The sequence below is a fragment of the Homo sapiens genome, chromosome 4 (genome assembly GCF_000001405.40).
Source record: "Homo sapiens chromosome 4, GRCh38.p14 Primary Assembly".
Taxonomy (NCBI): domain Eukaryota; kingdom Metazoa; phylum Chordata; class Mammalia; order Primates; family Hominidae; genus Homo; species Homo sapiens.
In genome coordinates, this window is record NC_000004.12 from 14,837,998 (window position 1) to 14,858,588 (window position 20,591).

Here is a 20,591-nt window from a genome sequence, read left to right on the forward strand (position 1 = left end):
AGAGTTGCTTTCCCCAAGAAAAGCTCACTAATGATCCTGCCTTCACTACATTGGCCTCAGGGGGTGCCACTTCCCCTTTATGCTTGTGGTCCTAGGACAGAGGGCCCTTTCACCTCTGTGTGTATATCTAAGGCAAGACGTGAATGTGACTCCTAAAAGGCTTTACCAACGGGGAGTTAACATCAGCAAAATACACATAAAGGATCTTCAGGTTCTAAATATTTGAACTTGTAAAAGAGCTAAGAGTGGTTTGGTTAAATATTTGAACTTGTAAAATGACTAAGAGTGGTCTGTTATGAGCTAAATCGTGTTCCTCCAAATTTATATTGAAACCCTAACCCCAGATATAACTGTAGTTGGAGATAGCATCCTTAGGAGATAATTAAGGTTAATTGAGGACTTAAGGGTGAGGCCCTAATTTACCTCTCCTCATCTTTTCTCTTTCTATCTTTCTTCATTTCTTCCTCTGCCATGTGAGGACACAGTAAAAAGTCAGCTGTCTACAAGTCAGGAAAAGAGCCTTCACTAAACCTGAGTCTGTTGGAATCTTGATCTTCAACTTCCCCCAGCCTCCAAAACTGAGAAAATGTATTTCTGTTGCTTAAGCCACTGGGTTTATGTATTTTGCTATGGTATCCTGAGATAACCATGAGAAAGTCCTAACCCCCAGTACCTCAGAATGTGACTGTGTTTGGTGATGGAGCTTTTAAAGGAGTAATTTAATTAAAATGAAGCTGTTAGGGTAGACCCTAATCCAATCTGACTGGTGTCTTTATAAGAGGAGGAGATTAGGACACACATACAAATACCAAGGGTGAGCAGGACAGAGGGACTGCTATGTGAAGGCAGCAAGAGGGCTGCCATCTGCAAGAGGCCTCAGAGGAAAACAGCCCTGCCGGCACATTGATCTTGGACTTCCAGCTTCCTGAACTGTGAGAAAACATATTTCTGGTGCTTAAACCACCCAGTCTGTGCTATTTTGTTATGGCATCTCTAGCAAACTAATAGAGTCAGAATCATCAAATTCAAATCCCAGTACCTTCACTTATTGCATATGTGACCTGAGAAAAGTCATTTGATTCTTCTGAGCCTCAATCTTTTTGTCTGCAAAACTGGAATAACAATAGCATCCAGTGATCTTTTACATTTGCTGTGAAGTTGATGAGACCACTTCAGATCACTGATCAGAGTGCTTGGTATATAGTGGTAGAGTGCTCGGTATATAGTGGTAGAGTGCTCAACTAGTGTGAGCTACCATTACCACTGGCATTTACTCCCAAGTGACAGAGTCTGTCTCTATCTCCCACTGCTTGAGAGTGACCTCATAGGTACCTAGGTGCTTCAAGTGCAGGTCAAGAAGGGAATACAAAAGTAAACTTATTGTCCATGTAAGCCACCCACCCCTTCTGTGGTTCCTGACCAAGGATCTGCCAGCCCAGATGGTTGACACTGGAAACATAAAAATGTTTCCTGCCACCATCGGGGTATGTTTAACCTTGATCTTGTAGCCCATTGTCTTAGTCATTTTCTGCTGCTATAACAGAATATTAAAGACTGAATAATTTTTTTTTTTAAAGCTGGAGGCATCACGCTACCTGACTTCAAACTATACTACAAGGCTACAGTAACCAAAACAGCATGGTACTGGTACCAAAACAGACATATAGATCAATGGAGCAGAACAGAGCCCTCAGAAATAACGCCGCATATCTACAACTATCTGATCTTTGACAAACCTGAGAAAAACAAGCAACGGGGAAAGGATTCCCTATTTAATAAATGGTGCTGGGAAAACTGGCTAGCCACATGTAGAAAGCTGAAACTGGATCCCTTCCTTACACCTTATACAAAAATTAATTCAACATGGATTAAAGACTTAAACGTTAGACCTAAAACCATAAAAACCCTAGACGAAAACCTAGACAGTACCATTCAGGACACAGGCACACAGGCATGGGCAAGGACTTCATGTCTAAAACACCAAAAGCAATGGCAACAAAAGACAAAATTGACAAATGGGATCTAATTAAACTAAAGAGCTTCTGCACAGCAAAAGAAACTACCATCAGAGTGAATGGGCAACCTATGAAATGGGAGAAAACTTTCGCAACCTACTCATCTGACAAAGGGCTAATATCCAGAATCCACAATGAACTCAAACAAATTTACAAGGAAAAAACAAACAACCCCATCAAAAAGTGGGCAAAGGATATGAGCAGACACTTCTCAAAAGAAGACATTTATGCAGCCAAAAGACACATGAAAAAATGCTCATCATCACTGGCCATCAGAGAAATGCAAATCAAAACCACTATGAGATACCATCTCACACCAGTTAGAATGGCAATCATTAAAAAGTCAGGAAACAACAGGTGCTGGAGAGGATGTGGAGAAATAGGAACACTTTTACACTGTTGGTGGGACTGTAAACTAGTTCAACCTTTGTGGAAGTCAGGGTGGCAATTCCTCAGGGATCTAGAACTAGAAATACCATTTGACCCAGCCATCCCATTACTGGGTATATACCCAAAGGACTATAAATCATGCTGCTATAAAGACACATGCACAAGTATGTTTATTGCGGCACTATTCACAATAGCAAAGACTTGGAACCAACCCAAATGTCCAACAATGATAGACTGGATTAAGAAAATGTGGCACATATACACCATGGAATACTATGCAGCCATAAAAAATGATGAGTTCATGTCCTTTGTAGGGACATGGATGAAATTGGAAATCATCATTCTCAGTAAACTATCACAAGGACGAAAAAACCAAACACCACATGTTCTCACTCATAGGTGGGAATTGAACAATGAGAACACACGGACACAGGAAGGGGAACATCACATTCTGGGGACTGTTGTGGGGTCGGGGGAGAGGGGAGGGATAGCATTAGGAGATATACCTAATGCTAAATGACGAGTTAATGGGTGCAGCCCACCAGCATGGCACATGTATACATATTTAACTAACCTGCATATTGTGCACATGTACTCTAAAACTTAAAGTATAATAATAATAAAAAAAAAAGACTGAATAATTAATGAAGGATGAAAGTTTATTTGGTTCGCAATTCTGGATGCTGGGAAGTCCAAGAGCATGGCACTGGCATCTGCTGAGAGTCATCCCAAAGTGTAAGGGAAGTGGGACAGAGAAGGCGAGATGGACCAGACTCACTCTTTTTATCAGGAACTTACTCCCCCAATAACTAACCACCCCCACGATAATGACAATCATCTCTTCAGAGCCCTAATGGCCTAATCACCTTTCAAAGACCCTACCTCTTAGTACTGTTACAATGACAACTAAGTTTCCAAGACATGAACATTTGTGGACGCTTTCAAATTACAGCATTCTGCCCTTGTTCCCTAAAATTCACGCCCTTCCTCTCACATGCAAAATATATTCATTTCATTCCAATAGCCCCCAAAGTCTAAACTCAGTCAAGCACCAACTCAAAAGTTCAAAGCTCAGAGTCTCATCTAAATTAAATACGGGTGAAGCTCAAGGCATAATTCATTGTGACACAAATTCCCTCCAGCTGTGAGCCTGTGAAATGAAGCAAGATATCTACCTCCAAAATATAATGGTAGAATAGGGATAGGATAGACATTCCCATTTCAAAAGGGAGAAACTGGCAAGAAAAGAAGGGTAGGTCATTCCAAGTAACTCCAAAACCCAACAGGGAAAACAAAATTAAGTCTTAAATTTGAAGAATAATCTCCTTTGACTCCTGAATCCTGAACACACCTGAGCATGGGTTGGGACCTACGCAGTTTGCCTATGCTGCTCTTACTGGTTGGAGTCTCATGCCTGAAGCTCTCCCAGACTAGCACTTCACATTGGTAGCTCTACAGATCTGCGGTCTCAGGAATGACCCCAATTCCACCACTCCACTACATGTTTCCCTACTAGAGACTATCTGCAGCCGCTCCAAACCCACGTTTCCCCTGGCAATGCCCTAGTAGTGGCTCTCTGCAGTGCCTCCACCCCTCTGACAAGTAAATACCACATGATATAAGAGGGAGTGTGAATGCTACTCCCCTGGGAGTGGCAGCCTGAGTCACACCAGGGGCCACTTGAGCCCTGGCTTGGGCAGCTGAGAAGCGCTGTGCCGAAATGCAGAGTGCAGAGTTCTGAGGCAGTCCTAGGAATGAATCTGTGGAGGGCATCCCAAACTCATCCCCTGAAACCATTCTACCCTCCTAGAGCTCTAGGACTGTGATAAGAAGGCAGCCTCAAAAATTTTTGTAATGAATTCTGGGTCCTCCTCCCATTGTCTTGATGAGTAGCACCTGGCTTTCTTCCAACGACAGAAATCTCTTTAGCAAATGTTCACTTGGCCACATCCTTAGTATTCTCTCCTGAACATTTTTTTTCACTCTTTACATGGCCAGGTTACAAATTTTCCAAATCTTTCCATTATGTTTCTCTTTTAAATATAAATTTTGCCTTTAAGTAATTTACTTACTATCATATCTCACTGTGTGGTTAAAAATAGCCATGCAGCAGCCTGAATGCTTTGCTGCTTAGATATTTCTTCCACCAGATATCCTAGTTGATCACTCTTAAGTTCCACATTCTATAAAGTCCTAGGTCACAGACACAGTTCTGCCAAGGTCTTTCCTACTTTGTAAAAAGGATGGCTTTTATCCCAGTTTCCAATACCTCATTTCCCATATGAGACCTCAACAAAATGGCCTTTACTGCCCCTATTTCTACCAACATTCTGGTCATGACCACTTAAGTAATCTCTAAGAAGACTCAAACTTTCCCTAAAGCTCTTCTCTTCTTCAGAACCCTCAACAGAATCACCCTTAATTTTCCATTCATGGCAATACAGGCTTTTTCTAGCCTCTGCCCATTATCCAGTTTTAGATTTTTGTTATAGCAACAACCCACTCCTGGTACCAATTTTGTCTTAGTCTGTTTTCTGTTGTTATAACACGATACCACAGACTGGGTAATTTATAAAGAACAGAAGTTTATTTGGTTATAGTTCTGGAGGCTGAGAAGCCCAAAAGCATGGCCCCGGCATCATGGCCTAATCACTTCTTAAAGACCACACCTCTTACTACTATTACAGTAGCAACTAAGTTTCCATCATGTTCAAATCACAGCATCCACACATATCAAGAGGTCTTCTTACTGGCCACAGTGAGAGAAGACTTGGTACAATGTAGGGAAGTACTTGGCTTCCTGTAAGCTTAATAAAACACCAGTTTTATTTTATTAAAGTGAGTCCTCAAAGCAATGCCAGTTACTGGCATTTTTAAAAAACTTATCTGGGCCATATAATAAGCTACACTGTCATTTCTCTCTTGTATGCTCAGAGTTTAATCTGTCACTTGGTAGTTGTAAAAGAGCAAATGAAGAGGTAGCTGTAGGATTTCCAGTATGTTACTAGTGTCTGTGTGACTCGCTCCAGGCTTCTTGCTTTCATAGCTCTATTTCTCAGTCTTTTATCTCACAAATGAAAGAAGGTAGGCCAAGAAAGATGTTCTACCTTAGTCACATCTAAAGGGTAAATCCATTGACTAGTTTTGAGGGATGTCTGATACATGTCAAAAATCCTAAAATTGTCTAGCTATTATTGAGGGCCAGGAACTCTAGCTTGGTTAGTCCTCTCAAATGATTTTCAGAGTAGGTTAGCATCTCATTTTAAGGAGTAGAGTTTGGGTATGTCATGAAAGTGTTTATGGGAGGCCAAAACACTAGTAAAATAATTTTCATCTTGTTTGTGATAGCTAATATTTCATCACTGCATACTATTTGCCAGACAGGGTCTTTCATTTATGGAATAAATATTTATCGAATACCAGTTATGTGCTAAACAACAAGACAAACCAAATGCTCTGCATTCATGGTACTTGCATACTGGTCAGGGAGACAAACAATAAACAAAACAAATAATAAGTAAATTATAAGTTATAGAATAATAAAGGTTACAGAAGAGTAAGTCATTGAATAGGAATATTACATGCTAGTTACAGGGGTGCAATTTGAAATAGAGACCAGGGAAGTCTTCCCTGAGAAGCTGACATTTGAGCAACATTTGATAGTGAAGCTAAGGATATTTACCTTATAACCACTATCTCATTTAATCCACTGGACGACTAAATATTATGATTTTCCCCATTTCTATATATGCATATACATATCTACATTTATAGTTAGATAAAAAAAGATTTATGAAGAATTGGCTCACATGATTGTGGAGGCTGGAAAGTCCCAAGATCTCCAGGTTGAGTCGGGTGAGTCAGAAAGCTAGAGACTCAGGAGAGCCGAAGGGGAGTTCTAGTTCAAAGGCCAGCCGGCTCAAAATTCAGGAAGAGTCAATGTTTCAGTTTAAATTTAAAGACAGAAAAATTTGTCATTTACTTGGAGGAAAGGTCAGTCTTTTTGTTCCTTTCAGGTGTTCAACTAACTGGATGAGGCCTACCCACACTGGGAAGACAATCTGCTTTACTCAGTCAACTGACTCAAATGTTAATCTCATCCAAAATTATCAGGAAAGAAACACCCAGAATAATTGTTCACCAAATATCTGGGCATCCCATGGCCCAATCAAGTTGATACATAAAATTAACCATCACAGTTGTAAAATCTCACTGTACAGTGGTGCCTTAGTCTGTTTTACGTTGCCATAGCAGAATACTACAGACTGGGTAGTTTATAACAAAAATAAAATTATTTCTCACAGTTCTGGAGGCTGGGGAGTCTACAGTTGAGGAGCCTCATCTAGCAAGGGCCTTCTTGCTGCTTCACCCTATGGCAGAAGGCAGAAGAGCAAGAGTGCATGTGCAAGAGCAAACTTGCTTTTATAACAAACCCACTCGCAAGATAACTAACCCACTCCCGTTATAACATTAATCCATTTATGCAGCAGAGCCCTCATGACCTAATCACCTCTTATTAGGCACCACCTCCCAGCATTGTGTCAATCAGAGTTAGGTTTCCAACACATGAATATATTCAGACCATAGCAAGTAGTTAAAAGCTAGGATGGGAGGGGATAGGGATAGGGATAGCATAGGGTGGGGATGGGGATGGGAGTGGGGATGGGGATGGGGATGGGAGTGGGGATGGGGATGGGGATGGGAGTGGGGATAGGGATGGGGATGGGGATGGGGATGGGGATGGGGATGGGGATGGGGATGGGGATGGGATGGCATGGCATGGCATCACCAGAGAAAGCTGGATTCAAAACTTGACTCCACCTTTTTCTAGCTTGCGTGATTGAAGACAAATGATTATACTCTCTGACCTATGGTTTCCTCATCTGTAAGGTGGGAATAGTCATGCCTGCCTCCAAGGGATGCTGGGAGAATTATAAAAGCTAATATGTAAGGTGGCTAACACAGTATCTAGACCAGAGCCAACAGTATGAGTGCTGAGTGCACCCTCCCCACGTGGAAGGGAACTGTGCTAGACACTTCCCCAGATGCTGTCTCATTGCACATGGCTTCTTTAGGGTTTCTCTTTGGAAATGCTTTTATTCTCAACAAGGCTAATTAGCCAGATTTCTGAGACCCTGAGCTTCATGCGGTTTTTCAGATTGCTTTTCACTCTTTGGAGGCCCAGAAACACTGCAGCCCAAAAAAAGGAAGGATTCTTGCCAGATGCTTGGGGTGGGGCAAGAAACCTGGGTACTCCACTTAGGATGGAGTCATTCAAGGATTGAGAAAACTACAGGCCTGAGGCTCAGTTTTAAGGTTCTGATCAAAATAAGCTGAATACTTTGCTAGAATCTCACAATAGGCCAGCCCTGAGTCGAAGCTCCTCAGCCCTGCTTTTGATTTTGTCAAATGTCCCCAGAATAAGATATGCAATTCCCTCTTTCTTGTCTCCTTGACACAGAGGAGAGCGGATGTATCCCAGGGCCCCTTCCTCCACCTGCATTGGGGTAGAAATGAAGATCATTTGCTCTCACTTGTGCTACTTATTATAGAAATTTCTGCTTATGGGTTTTCCACACAGAACCAGGCAGAGGCCTGGCTCAGTCACTTAGCCATCTGACCTTGTTGGGTAAGTTGCTTTACTTTCTCGATCTTCAGTTCATTTATACAGCACTATTAATATATACCTCTCAAGGCTTCATTCTTAAGTGGAATTTATTGACTTCCTACCTTGTCCTAGACACAGGAATGATCTTAACAGCTTCACAGGCATACAATCTCTGGGGTTGCATGGGGCCCTGGGCTCAGAAAGGCCGTCCTGAAATTCTTAATAACTTTTGAAGGAAGGGCTCCACAGTTTCACCGAGCACTAGGCCCTGCAAATTTTGCAGTTAGCCATGGCTCTAAGAGAAAGGAATTAACCTTATGCTCCTTTCACAGATGAAAAAATTGTGAGGCAAAAAGGTTCAGCAACTTGTCCAAGGTCACACAGCTAGTAAGTAGAACAAGAAGGAAATTTCTTTCTGATTCATGCTTTTAAATCCTCCTGGATAGTGCCTTCCTGGTGAGAGAATTTAATTAAAAGCCATTACTCTGTGCTTTATAACTCCAAGTGGCTTCCATCCTCTGCCATTCTCACTTCCCATCGCCCAAGTAGTCTTTATCCTCATGCTGATGACTCTTAGCCCCGCAGCTTTTAAGAAATGATCCCCATGTTGCAGATGCATATGATTCTTGAATATAGTGCCTGGGAGGCCTGCCACAGTTAAGTCACTGCCCGGTCAGTTAGGTTGAGGCAGGATCTCTTTCAAGGGAGCAGAGATGGAGTATCAATGCCTGCTATCAGTCATCAGGGAAAGTAACAAGACATCAGAAAGTAGATGGAGCCTCCAGTTTCTAGGACAGTCTCCCATCCTGGAAGAGACTCATCTCTCTGTTTGTTTTTATTTTTATTTTTTTAATTATTTTAAGCAATTAATTTTTTTTTTGAGACACGGTCTTGCTCTGCCGCCCAAGCTGGAGTGCGGTGGTACCATCATGGCTCACTGTAGCCTCTAACTCCTAGGCTGAAGCAATCCTCCTGCCTTAGCTTCCCAAGTAGCTGGGACTACAGGCATTTGCCACCATGCCTGGCTAATTGTTTTTCACTTTTTACAGAGAGGGGGTCTTGTTGCCCAAGCTGGTCTCAAACTCCTTGTCTCAAGAGATCCTCCTGCCTCAGCCTCCCAAAGTACTGGGATTACGGGTATGAGCCACCATGCCCAGCCTCTCTGTTTCTTGACTACAGAATAATCAGGATGATCTCAGGCCTATTTGCAGGGGTTAGGAGTGAGCAGAAAGTTGGAGGTGTGGTGTATGAATTGTGAGAAACCCCCTCCAGGAAGCAGCAGGGCTAGAAAGCCAAGGCAAGAGAAGTGGCTATAAAAGGGCCCTGGGCCAGTGCACCACGCATCTGGGGGTAGAGGGCAAGTCTCCTAAGACAGAGTTAGAAATAGATCAAGACTTGGCTTGTGAATCTGGACCCAAGACAGGGACAAGGGTTGTGGCAGGAGCAAGAATCTATGCCTCCTAGACTTTATTTCATCCTTCCTTTTATTTTTCCCCTGTGTTTTGCCTCTGTATTTGGTGTTGATGGTTGTTATTTTATACAGTAAGTGTATGCCTAAAGGAACCAGGAGAATGGGCCTATAACCTTGCTTGGGCCAGACTCTGAAAGGAGGGAGAGGAGCATATGCCCAGGTAACTTTTTGCAGTATGTGGTGGTGGCAGCTGAAATGAATTGAGGGAGGACAAGAAGAAAGCAATGGTCAAGAGGAAGAGAGGTAAGTCGTTTAGATGGCTTCGATGGCCCGTGGAGTGGTGGTGCTTTTTAATGTGCATGGTAATCACCAGGACATTTCCCTGTCAAAAGGCAGACCCTGATTCAATAGGTCTGAGTGAGGCCTGAGACTCTGCCCTCTAACAAGCTCCCAGATGAGGCTGACACTGCTGGTCCACAGATTGCACTTGGAGCTGCAGAGCCCTAGGAAAGGGCCAGCCCCTTAGACAATGGGGGCCACCATTCAGATCGGTTTTACAGCAGAGATTCGAACAGGAGTAAAAATGCCAACAGGCTATTTTCAGGGAAGAACACATCCCTTCAAAGACTAAAAGCTCTTGGGGTTATCACTACAAAGAGAATGGCTAGGAGGAAAGAGAAGTTGAATATTTTCATTGACAGGTTACATTTCCTTTTTGTGAAGGTCAGTATGATCTTAGGAATGATCAAAAGCCCCAGCTGTGTCTCGTATCCCTCCCACCTTACCAGGGTGTCTGAAATTCCCACCATCAGGAAAAATGACTGTATTTTACTAGGGCACCATTTCCTCAAGAATGTTCCACTCAGAAGAGTTGTTCTAAGGTATTAATTGATAGAAAAAATAAGAGTTCTGTGACGATATTAATTAGGGCAACATTGATGCAAATAAAGTGGGATATGATTCTTTACCACAGACTCTTCAGAGCGTGTCCAGTGCTAACATACATTGTGAATAGCTAATATAGGAACCAAACTGCCACAGTATTTCCTAACCTTGTTTGATTGCAGAACTCTGTTTCTGTTTCTCTCTAGCTCCCTTCCTTTCTTCCTTTACTAGCAATTAAATAAGTGCCAATTACATCAACAAAATGCTGAAGGTGGGAAGGTTCCTTATTTGTTTCAACAGAGATTTATCTTTTTAAGTATTCAGTATTCATAGCCGGGTAGTGATATAAACACTCATATACTTCCAATATGAATTTAAATTGGTATCAGCTTTTTGAAAAGTTCTTTGGAAGTATGAAGGAAAAACAACAAAAATATTTATAAACTTTAAGACAATATATTAACTTACGTGATTCTAGATTTAGATTTTTTAATTACCCCAAATATAAAATTTTTCCAACAAAGCTTTGGAAATGTTTAAAATTATCTACGAGGGTGTCACTCAGTTTAATACACTCATTTGTCATATAAAATCATCACAAATGTCCATGAAATCATATAGAAGTGTGCTTATGTTATTTTGCTATATCAATTGCAAAAAGTAGCTGCCATTCTTCACTCCTCCTTCTATCTGTGACCTTTGCAAATGACTGGGGAGTCCCATCCCATCCAGAGGTGGTGTCTACTTCCCCACACTGGAATCCAGGCTGGCCTTGTCACTTGCATTGGCAAAGTGTGGCAGTGACAGTGTGCCAGCTCTGGACCTCAGCATCTTCTGGTTCTGTCTTCTCTCCCAGAATCTTGCCACTGCTATGTACACACCCCCAGGCTGTCCTCTTAGGGAATGAGAGACCAAGGATAGGAGTGCTGTGAACCCACCAGCAAGTGAGAGAACCCAGCCAAGGTTGCAGACCCATTAGCAAGCCCCGCTGAAACTAGAGTGACTATGGAACCTTCCAGCTAACCCCTGAACTCATTTGCAATCATAAATGGTCATTGTTTTAATAGGTGGCAATAGATAGTTGATAGAGTTATGATGTAATATAAAAAGAAAAAAAAGCGTAAAATATGTCAACTAATGTGAAATTGTTATAATTATGACCAAAAGAAAAATGATATGAATGAAAATATGATGAATGGCTGTTTTACAACAGCAAGCTTATTAAAATATTGATATATTTTATCTCTCTACATTTCTGCATTTCCAAATTTTCTTTGATGAGCATGCATTACTGTCATCATGTTTGTATATTACACAAATGGTTTATTTAGCAATAATAACTCAGGAGTCTTAGGGATAGTTGGTATCTGCCACATACTCTAGTATCTAGACTAGTCCAAAGTATGTGTTTTAAAAATCATAAAACGCCTTATAATCTGTAAGGTGTTATAGTTTTTACTGTGGCACCTACTTTCATAATTGTTGAGCACTCTAATAAGATGCCACACTTTCTGCTCCAAAATTGGTAGAGTTTTTACATTTTATTTTTGAGTTAAGAATGTATTAACCCTAAAACGCTAACAAATTGACAATCCAAGGATTTGAACAAACTTCCTTACCATTAAGTAATATATATGGCAATAATAAACACAAGCCCTCTGTGTGTCACACAGAAACTTCTCAGGCTAAATAGAGCTGAGCTTTCATCTTGAATGGCAGCTTTGGAAAAAGGATCATGCACAGAGCAACCATTGAACTGTTTACAGAGAAGGTAATGTGAGGAGCACACCCTCCCAAGATAAAAGCTGCTTTATGGTATATAAAGAAAGTCCTTTGAAAGTACTGCTAAAATTGAAGAGACTTTGTAGTTCTCCAACAACTTTCATGCAAGCATCTGAAAACATTTTACTGACATACACCTTTAATCTGCACAGCCGCCTGAGGGTAAGTAACAAGTTTTACTATCCCCATTTTGCAGGTGGAAAACCCAAGGTAGAAAGGTACCAGAAAATGCCACATGCTAGTTAAATTTATTTGGTTGCAAATAACATAAAAAACTAGCCAATCAGGGAATAATAATTTATATTATACAAATATTATATTTATATAAGATATAATTATATATAATATATAGTATTGTATCTTATATTATTAAACAATGACAAAATTAAAAATAAAAATAAATGTGTGTGTGTATATAAAGGACAAAGGAAGGCACATGGCTATGAAAGAAGGAAGTTGGGCAACTCGAGGGCTCTAGGTTCTAGCAATCAAGTCTCTTCAGGGTGCTGGTGTCTGGATGAAGCTGTTTCAGCCATTTGTTACTCCATTCAAAACAAATTGTAAAGAGAGAATGCCTGAGCACCAGAGTTGAGTCACAGGCCAATTCTATGAGTGCTGTACACTACAGTTGAGGAGTAACTCCCCAGGAGAAAGAAAGTCAATGTCAGGTAGACACAAAACTATGCATATTTTAGAATGAATGAAATGTAACAGGAAGTTCTTTTTGATTTTTGCCTATCTATCACTTATTACTCAGCCCTTTTCAGAATGAACCAGGAGTTTCTAGGAACCAGGAAGGAAGGGAGCAGTGTTTTTGAGCCTAGCCCATGGTCTGGCACAGAGTTAGTTCAATAAAAGAACACTGAATAACTGAATGAATGCATGAACCACTTGGCATCTGTGCAGTCCTGAATGAAATACTGATAATAGCATTTGTCTCCCATTTTTCTCCCATGGGTTTGCACACACTTCAACACCCTGGGCCATTTCCAAGTTTCTTTTCAACAGGCGTTAAGTGCCTACCCACCCAGTCCTCCATGTCCTAGAGTTGTTCCTTCTCAGGGATGTGTTCAGAACTGGTTCTAGTGTGGCCCATCCAGAATTCATTATATCTTCTTCTTTTTTATTTTTTTAATTGAGACAGAGTCTCACTGTGTTACCCCAGGCTGGAGTGCAGTGGCACAATCTTGGCTTACTGTAACTTCCACCACCCGGGTTCAAGCGATTCTTGTGTCTCAGTCTCCCAAGTAGCTGGGACTACAGGCACGCACCACCACACCCGGCTAATTTTTGTATTTTTAGTGGAGTCAGGGTTTCACCATGTTGGCCAGGCTGGTCTCGAACTCCTGACCTCAACCTGCCTCGGCCTCCCAAAGAGCTGGGACTACAGGCATGCCACTGTGCCCGGCCAGAATTCATTACTCTTCAAACCTGAGGCCTCTTGTGCCTCAGTGTTCTTACTGGTTAAAAGGGAATAGGTAATAATAATTCTATCTTGTAGGGTTGTTATAAGGATTAATGGAGATAATATTAGTAAAGCATTTAGAGTAATCCTGGCACATAGGAAGATACTATTTGTTAGCTGCTATCATCATCATCTTTATAATATTCTTGTTATGGAGCATTGTATATTTAATATCAAGAATTTCTCATTCATGGTTGCCAATAACCCTCAGCACAATCAGGGTTGGTTGTGCTGAGTTGTGCAGAGTTGGTTCTTCCCATATAATGAATGATGAAATGAAGCTCAAGGAATTTAAGTTATCAGCTCAAGGTCCATCAACTGCTAGATGTCATCTTCCACTGCTTATCCCTAAGGACTGTCTTCTTTCTCTTACAGTATGTTACTTCCCAAAATAAAAGGTAAAGAGTGTAGCCAAAAATAGTGAACTTGCAATGGTGGAATTCCAGGCACGTAGAAGGAAATGTCCCTCCTGGTGACCCACAATCCATCTTGAACAGGAAATCTTGCTGGCCATGAGCTCCATTCATGATATACCCAAGCATTTTCCCCACTAAACTTCAAGTTCCTTCAGAGTAGAGAGGTGCTCTCCCAGCACCCAGCATGGTTCCTGGCATTTGGTAAGTCTAATACATGCACTGTACAGCCAAGATACTCTACAGGAGAAAAACATCAAAAATTCTCCAGAATATGTCTATGGCTTATATCCTATGGAGAGTTACCTTTTCTTCTCCCTTTTTGAGATCTCTTTTTTTCCCTTTTCCTCCTTAATGAAAGAAGGAATATTTATTTGGCTTTTTAAATGTTAATCTTCCTTACTCAGCCCTCTCCCTAATCTGGTCATATCTCCGAACCCAGCCTGTCACTCACATGGTCACTTGTCCCATGAACAGTATAAACTCAACATGCCCCAAACCACGTTTATCATCTCCGCCAATTTCTACTCCTCCCAAATTTGTTCCTACTCTTGTAATTTCTGATCTCTCTTGGATGCATCATCCACCAAGCCAGAAACCTCAGGGTCATCTCTCTCCTTCCCATCATACTTCCTCACCCATCCATACGTCAAGTCTGCCAATTCTGTCTCTGTAATCATTCTTATATTATTTCTCTAATCTCTCTTTCCACCACTTTTAGGCTACCATCACCTCTAGCATGGACTACTGCTACAGTCCTTTTATCTTGTGTCTTTTCAATCTAATTTTTATTGAGGCAAAGTACCATTTTTGAGCAGAGATGAACTAGCCATTCACCAAACTGGTTTTTCTTTCCTCCAAAGCAACATCTTGGCTAGGCAGGAGACCAAAATATGCCACCTCAAAATATGCCTCTTTGATATAGTATTATCTTGAGCCAATTATTTGGGAACCCTGCAGACACAAGAGAATCTCTGAAAAGAGAGTAGACGTTACCCTTTTGCAGGGAAAATTTGCATCTATAAAAAAATCTCCATATGCAAGAATCTTAGTTGGTTTTATGCTGCTGTAACAGCATACCACAGATTAGGTAATTTATAATGGACAGAAATGTATTTGGCTTATGGTTCTGAAGTCTAGGAAGTCTTCTTGTTGCATCATTGCATGGCAGAGGGCATCATCAGTACATAGCAAGGGAACAAGAGAGGGGGCTAAACTCATTCGCATGGTCTAAAAACATCTTAAAGGTCCTACCTCTCAACAGTGTTGCATTGGGAATTAAGTTTTCAACCCATATGCTTTGGGAGATACATTCTAATCATAGAAGAGTGTCTCCTTCTTTGTACCAGGAAGAAAAGGATGACTACATCTCTAAAGACTCTTATCAATGGAGAAGGCACTGACTTAATCTGCATAACAAACCTTACCCTGTTTACTGAGCTTTTCCTGGGTATTTCTCCATAACCAGCCTTCCCCACACCTTTTTTCCATTTCAACAGACATGGTATTTAAACCTGAATTCAAAGCCACTTCTGTGAGATTTATTCACTTATCCTTGCATATATCTGATGTATACTTGAAATATACATGTTAATAAACTCCTGAGCCCCTTTCTCTTGTTAATCTATTTTTTTGTTACAGAGGTCTGTCCCAACTAAGAACTATCAAGGGTAGATGTTTCTTCCTGTACAGCTCCATTTCCCAGGCTCCCTTGCTGTTAGCATTGGCAGTGTGACTGTGTTGACTCAGCTCTGGACAGTGGAATGTAGATGGAAGTGATGTACTCATTCCCTGATCTAATCCTTAAACACTTTCTGCACAAGCCTTCTCAGTTTCCTTGCCTCATCTGCTGGCTTGATGTCAATGGCCAGAGTTTGGAAGTCATGACTAGAAAATGGCAGAGCCTATGTCCACCTGCGACTCTGAATACATTCCTTGAACAGACCCCTTGCTCTTACCAATTGAAATACATGTCACTGAAAAATAATCTTGCACAGCATTTAATCACTGAGGTTTCAGAATTTCTCTGTTGGAACACCTACCCTTGCCTTAATTAATATATCTTTCTAAAGCAGAAATTTGACCTGCTTAAAACCTTCTAATCTCTGCCTATCATCTTTGAGATCAGGTCCAGAGTTATCTGGCTCCGGCCCTATCAAACTCTCTAATCATTTATCTCACCATTAAAGTCACACATTTCACTTTCCAGTAACATCCAACTACACGTCAGTTCCCCCATTCCCCAGGATAGCTCATATACCTTTCTATCTATCCCTGACTAACTTCCTGGTGTTTGAAACACCCTTACTATTTTTTATCATAAACTTAGTTTATATTAACCTTCAAAGATTAATTCAAGTGCCATCTACTCCAGGAAGCCCTCTCTTCCTCTCTCAATCCAGGCTAAGTTCCCCTCCCCTGAGTGCTTCCCTCTACCTCAATGTATCACAAATTATATTACAGTCCTGATAATGCAGCTCTCTGGTCTACCTGATAGGCTGCAAAGGAGCAGCACCAAGAGGGGTCTATGACTTGTCCATCATGATATCCTGCCTCCTACCCTAGAGCCAGTATACTCTATAGAGTCACCCCTCAGTATCTGTGGGGAACTGGTTCCAGGATCCCCAGTGGATACCAAAATTCACAGATGCTGAAGTTCCTTATACAAAATGCCATCGTATTTGCACATAACCTATGCATTCTCCTATATACTTTAAATAGTCACTAGTTTACTTACATTACTTAAGACAATGTAAATTCTATGTAAATAGTTATTATATTGCATTGTTTAGGAAATAATGTCAAGGAAAAAAGTTTGTACAGACACAACCATCCTTTATTTTTTCAAATATTTTTGATTCATGGTAGGCTGAATCCACGAATGTGGAACCCACAGATACAGAGGGCCAATGGCATATGCTTATTGGATTGAAACCTTTCTCATTCCAGCTGACTTATGTCCTAGGCTAGTGATCTGCTTTCTTTGTTCACAAGGCTTCTTTGCTATGCAAAGGTACTCCAAGAAAGTTTTAATCTTTTTTTTTATCTTTTTGGAATCTGTCTCTTTCATTTGGGTCATGTAAGTATGCCAGAGTTTACCAGTTTCAGGAAAATGGTAAATAGAGAGTGGGATAGTAAGGAAACAACAGCCTCAGCATTCATTTCCCATCCCTAGTGCTGCTGCTATATGTAAGTCCTTACTCAGTTGGCATAGACCACCAAAAAATGAGTGACGATGCTAGCAGCCCCCCGTCCTCTGTATCAGCTCAGCCACAGGGTTTCTGAGGCCACCACACTCAGTACTCAGCCCTCCCAGGCCCCCATGAAGGCACCTCCTTCTAGGAACCCATCTTCCAGCTGGAGCAACTCACTGAACACTCCCACAACCATGCCCTTGACCCAGTCCCTGAAGACCTAACCAACTCACTGATTATGCCTCCACTGTCTTCAAATCTTGAAAAAGTCCCTCTCTACTTTAGACTATACCTCAATGGGTCTGTACCTTCAAGCAAAAAAGAAAAATGTTGTGGGATTAGAACTGAGTTGGGGAGAGGCTTGCCTGTTTCTTTCTTTTTTTTTTTCCCCCATCCTTGAAACTCAAAAAGGCTATTAACTTCTTTCATGAAGAGTAAAGAAAATTCAGATCTTAGTAACACAGACTTGTTAACTTTGCTAGGAGAGGAAGGAACGCCTTTCCTTCATTTCCAGTAACTCTATGGCATCAAATGAGACACAGATAAGTTTCTCAACCACCCTGCTACAGCGCCCATCATTTTGAATGCCTACTATGCCACTAGTGCTAACAAGGCCCTGTCCGTTGAGGAGTTCATGGCATGGTTGGGAAGCTAGATGACTAAATGCAAAACCAAAGTACAGTGCGTTAGGGCTGGGCTAGAAGGAGTTCAAGGTGTGTAGCAGATGCACAGAGCAGGCAACTAGCCCCACTTGGCAAATCAGAAGAGGCAACAGCAGAGCTGAGCCTTGGAGAACCAGGAGCAGTTGTCAGGTAAAGCAGGGAGGCATAGTAGAAGAGGTGTTTCTTGTTTCCTTTCCATTTACGCTATAAAAATATTCTTCCCCTTGTTAAATAGAGATGAAAGGGAAGCATTAAAGATCTTTAGTGTAAGCATGACATGATGATGGGGCAAGCTGGACAGAAGCCAAACTGGAGGCAGGGGAACTAGTTCCAAGGCTCATTCTCTGCTTTCCTCCAGGATGAGCTGTCTGCTAATTATCTCCTGCCCATGAAGCCACAGGCCCAGAGGCCCATAATGACACAGCACTGAGGGGTCCCTGCTTTTACTAGAATTATTCCTGATAAGCTTCACTTGACAGAAGACTTGGCTTCCCCAGTCTCTGATTCTTTTGTAAATCCCCAGAATTCAACTAAGGTCTCTGCCCTGGAGCTTTTGTAAGCTGATCTCAAACCCAAAAACACCCCCCTTGACTGACAATCCTCTCAGGGTGGAACCAAGAAGAAAGATATTAGTCTAAAGGGAAAAACCCACAGAGGCATGGAGTTCCCCTTGGCTAAAGGAAAAAGCATGTGCACAGTGGTGTGGCTTAAAGAATGATAGTACTCCTTGACCTTCAAGGGTTGGGCTCAAGTTCATGGTTCTTTTAAGGCTGTCAGAAGCCACAGTGAGTCATAACGCTGTTTGTCCTGGGAGGAGGGAGGGTGATGGGGTGTGAGTCACAACGGAGAGAAGGACTCACTAGTATGGGGCTTGGGAAAGGCCCGTAATAGTGACGTCTTCCAGTGTCTTCTGAGTTCTCATGTTTCCTTTCAGACTTTGAGCTGGGCAAGGGGCGAAAAAGGGGACTATATGGTAGTCTCTTATTAATTAGAATGGATAACTAGAGAATAAGGGAAAAACTAACAAAAAAGGCCAGAGACAAGACTGGCCCTGGGGAATGTGAATTCCAGGTCATTTATAAAATAATAATAATAAATCAAGGTTGTCTTTTGTCTTTCCTGCAAAAAAAATGTGACTTGGTAGCACCACGAGTGTATGAGTGATCTTGGGCCCAAATCTGTCTGCATGGGATCCCTGTTCTGCCTCTCCTTAGACGTGTGATCATACGCAAGTCGTTGAATCTCTGTGGACATTAAGCAACATATTCTTGAACAATTACTATGTTCTGGGCACTCGACTTGGTATCTTATTTGCATCATCTCAAATAATTCCATCCCTACTTTAAAACAATACATTCATTTCAGGGTTGTTGGGAGGATTAAAGGAGATAGCCCAGTGAAAGAGTCTAACTGCCTGGCACAATATAGGGATTAAATAGGTACCATGTCCCCTTAACCTGCTCCTTTTTAAGGAAGTGTGCCTATCTTGGGCGTTAGGCTTTCTATAAGCATGTTTACTTGAGTGTAGTTGAATTTATACATGTCTCCCTGGCAAAAGGGGAAAAAAATGCCTTTGATTTTGGTCATTCTCGCACTGTATAGCTTTATGTGCATTTTTTCACCAACATTATCTTCACACACATCATTTTAATTATGATTTTGTTACCTGTGATATCTTACAACTATTAGCACAGAACATACTAGTGAAAAGCCAATCTGTTTAAGCAACAAAGAGAACTGGGAATAACTCTGTTTTTAATGTACCTATTCCCATGAGTTCTTGAAGTTAGGAAGAAACAGCTCCCCTGGCTTTGCTGCCCTGACCTTTGGGTTGTACAAATCAAGTCGGCTTGGCACAGGAAGCAGCACTCAAATCCAGATTCTAACAAACCGGAAGTGAGGTGGAGAGAGATAGGATAAGCCTCTCCTTCGGGCACCAGAGTTCTTAATTGAAGTAGGGATTCCTTGGGTAAATCTTGTATCTTACAGAAGATAAAATTATATAATAATTGAAAACTATAGCTCCCTAAGCTATGAGGATACAAAGGCACAAGAATAATATAATGGATTCTGGGGACTTGCGGGGAAGCTTAGGAGGGGTTGAGGAACGAAAGACTGCATATTGGTTGCAGCGTACATTGCTTGGGTGATGGGTGCACCAAAATCTCAGAAATCACACCTAAATAACTTACCCATGCAACCAAACACCTCCTGATCCCCAGAAACTATTGATAAAAAAAGCCAAAATATGAACAAACCCTAATGTAAACTATGGACTTTAGTTGATTATGATACATCAATGTAGGTGCATCAATTGTAGCAAATGTATCACTCTGGTGAGGGATGTTAATAATTGAGGAAGCTGTGGTTTGTGGGGGTAGGAGAGATATGGGAAATATCTGTACCTTCCTCTCAAATTTGCTGTGAAACTAAAACGCCTCTAAAAAAAAAAGAAAACATATATATAAAAAAAGATATGGCTTGGTAGCATCACATAAAATTTAGTATTCGACCCAAGATTAGAGCCTTCTTTGGCTCCTTCGGATCAATAGCTTAACCCATATAGGAGTTATCAAGCCTTCATACAAGAAAAATATATATATACACACACACGTATAAAATATATTTATATAAACAACTTTATATATATATACACACACACACACACACACACACACACACACACACAACTACATCTCCCTAAAAGCTGGGATTGTGGAATTGCTTTTGTTGAATTATCCATGGATTAATAGTACATAGAAATTG

The 20,591-nt window shown here is 41.3% G+C and overlaps 1 long non-coding RNA gene across 1 annotated transcript in view, besides 2 other annotated features; it reads right to left on the bottom strand.

The window, feature by feature from the left end:
* Positions 1 to 20,591, bottom strand: part of LINC00504 (long intergenic non-protein coding RNA 504) — a 417,705-nt gene that overhangs the window by 367,533 nt on the left and 29,581 nt on the right. The window lies entirely within an intron of this gene.
* Positions 17,944 to 19,143: an enhancer, noted in NCBI's record as "CDK7 strongly-dependent group 2 enhancer chr4:14857565-14858764 (GRCh37/hg19 assembly coordinates)". NCBI's record gives its function as "activates an origin of replication core promoter dependent on BRD2, BRD4, P300/CBP, MED14 and CDK7 cofactors, with strong dependence on CDK7, by STARR-seq in HCT116 cells {active_cell/tissue: HCT116}" and the evidence as "EXISTENCE:reporter gene assay evidence [ECO:0000049][PMID:35650434]".
* Positions 18,339 to 18,718: an enhancer, noted in NCBI's record as "active region_21332". NCBI's record gives its function as "activates an Ori minimal core promoter by ATAC-STARR-seq in GM12878 lymphoblastoid cells {active_cell/tissue: GM12878}" and the evidence as "EXISTENCE:reporter gene assay evidence [ECO:0000049][PMID:35858748]".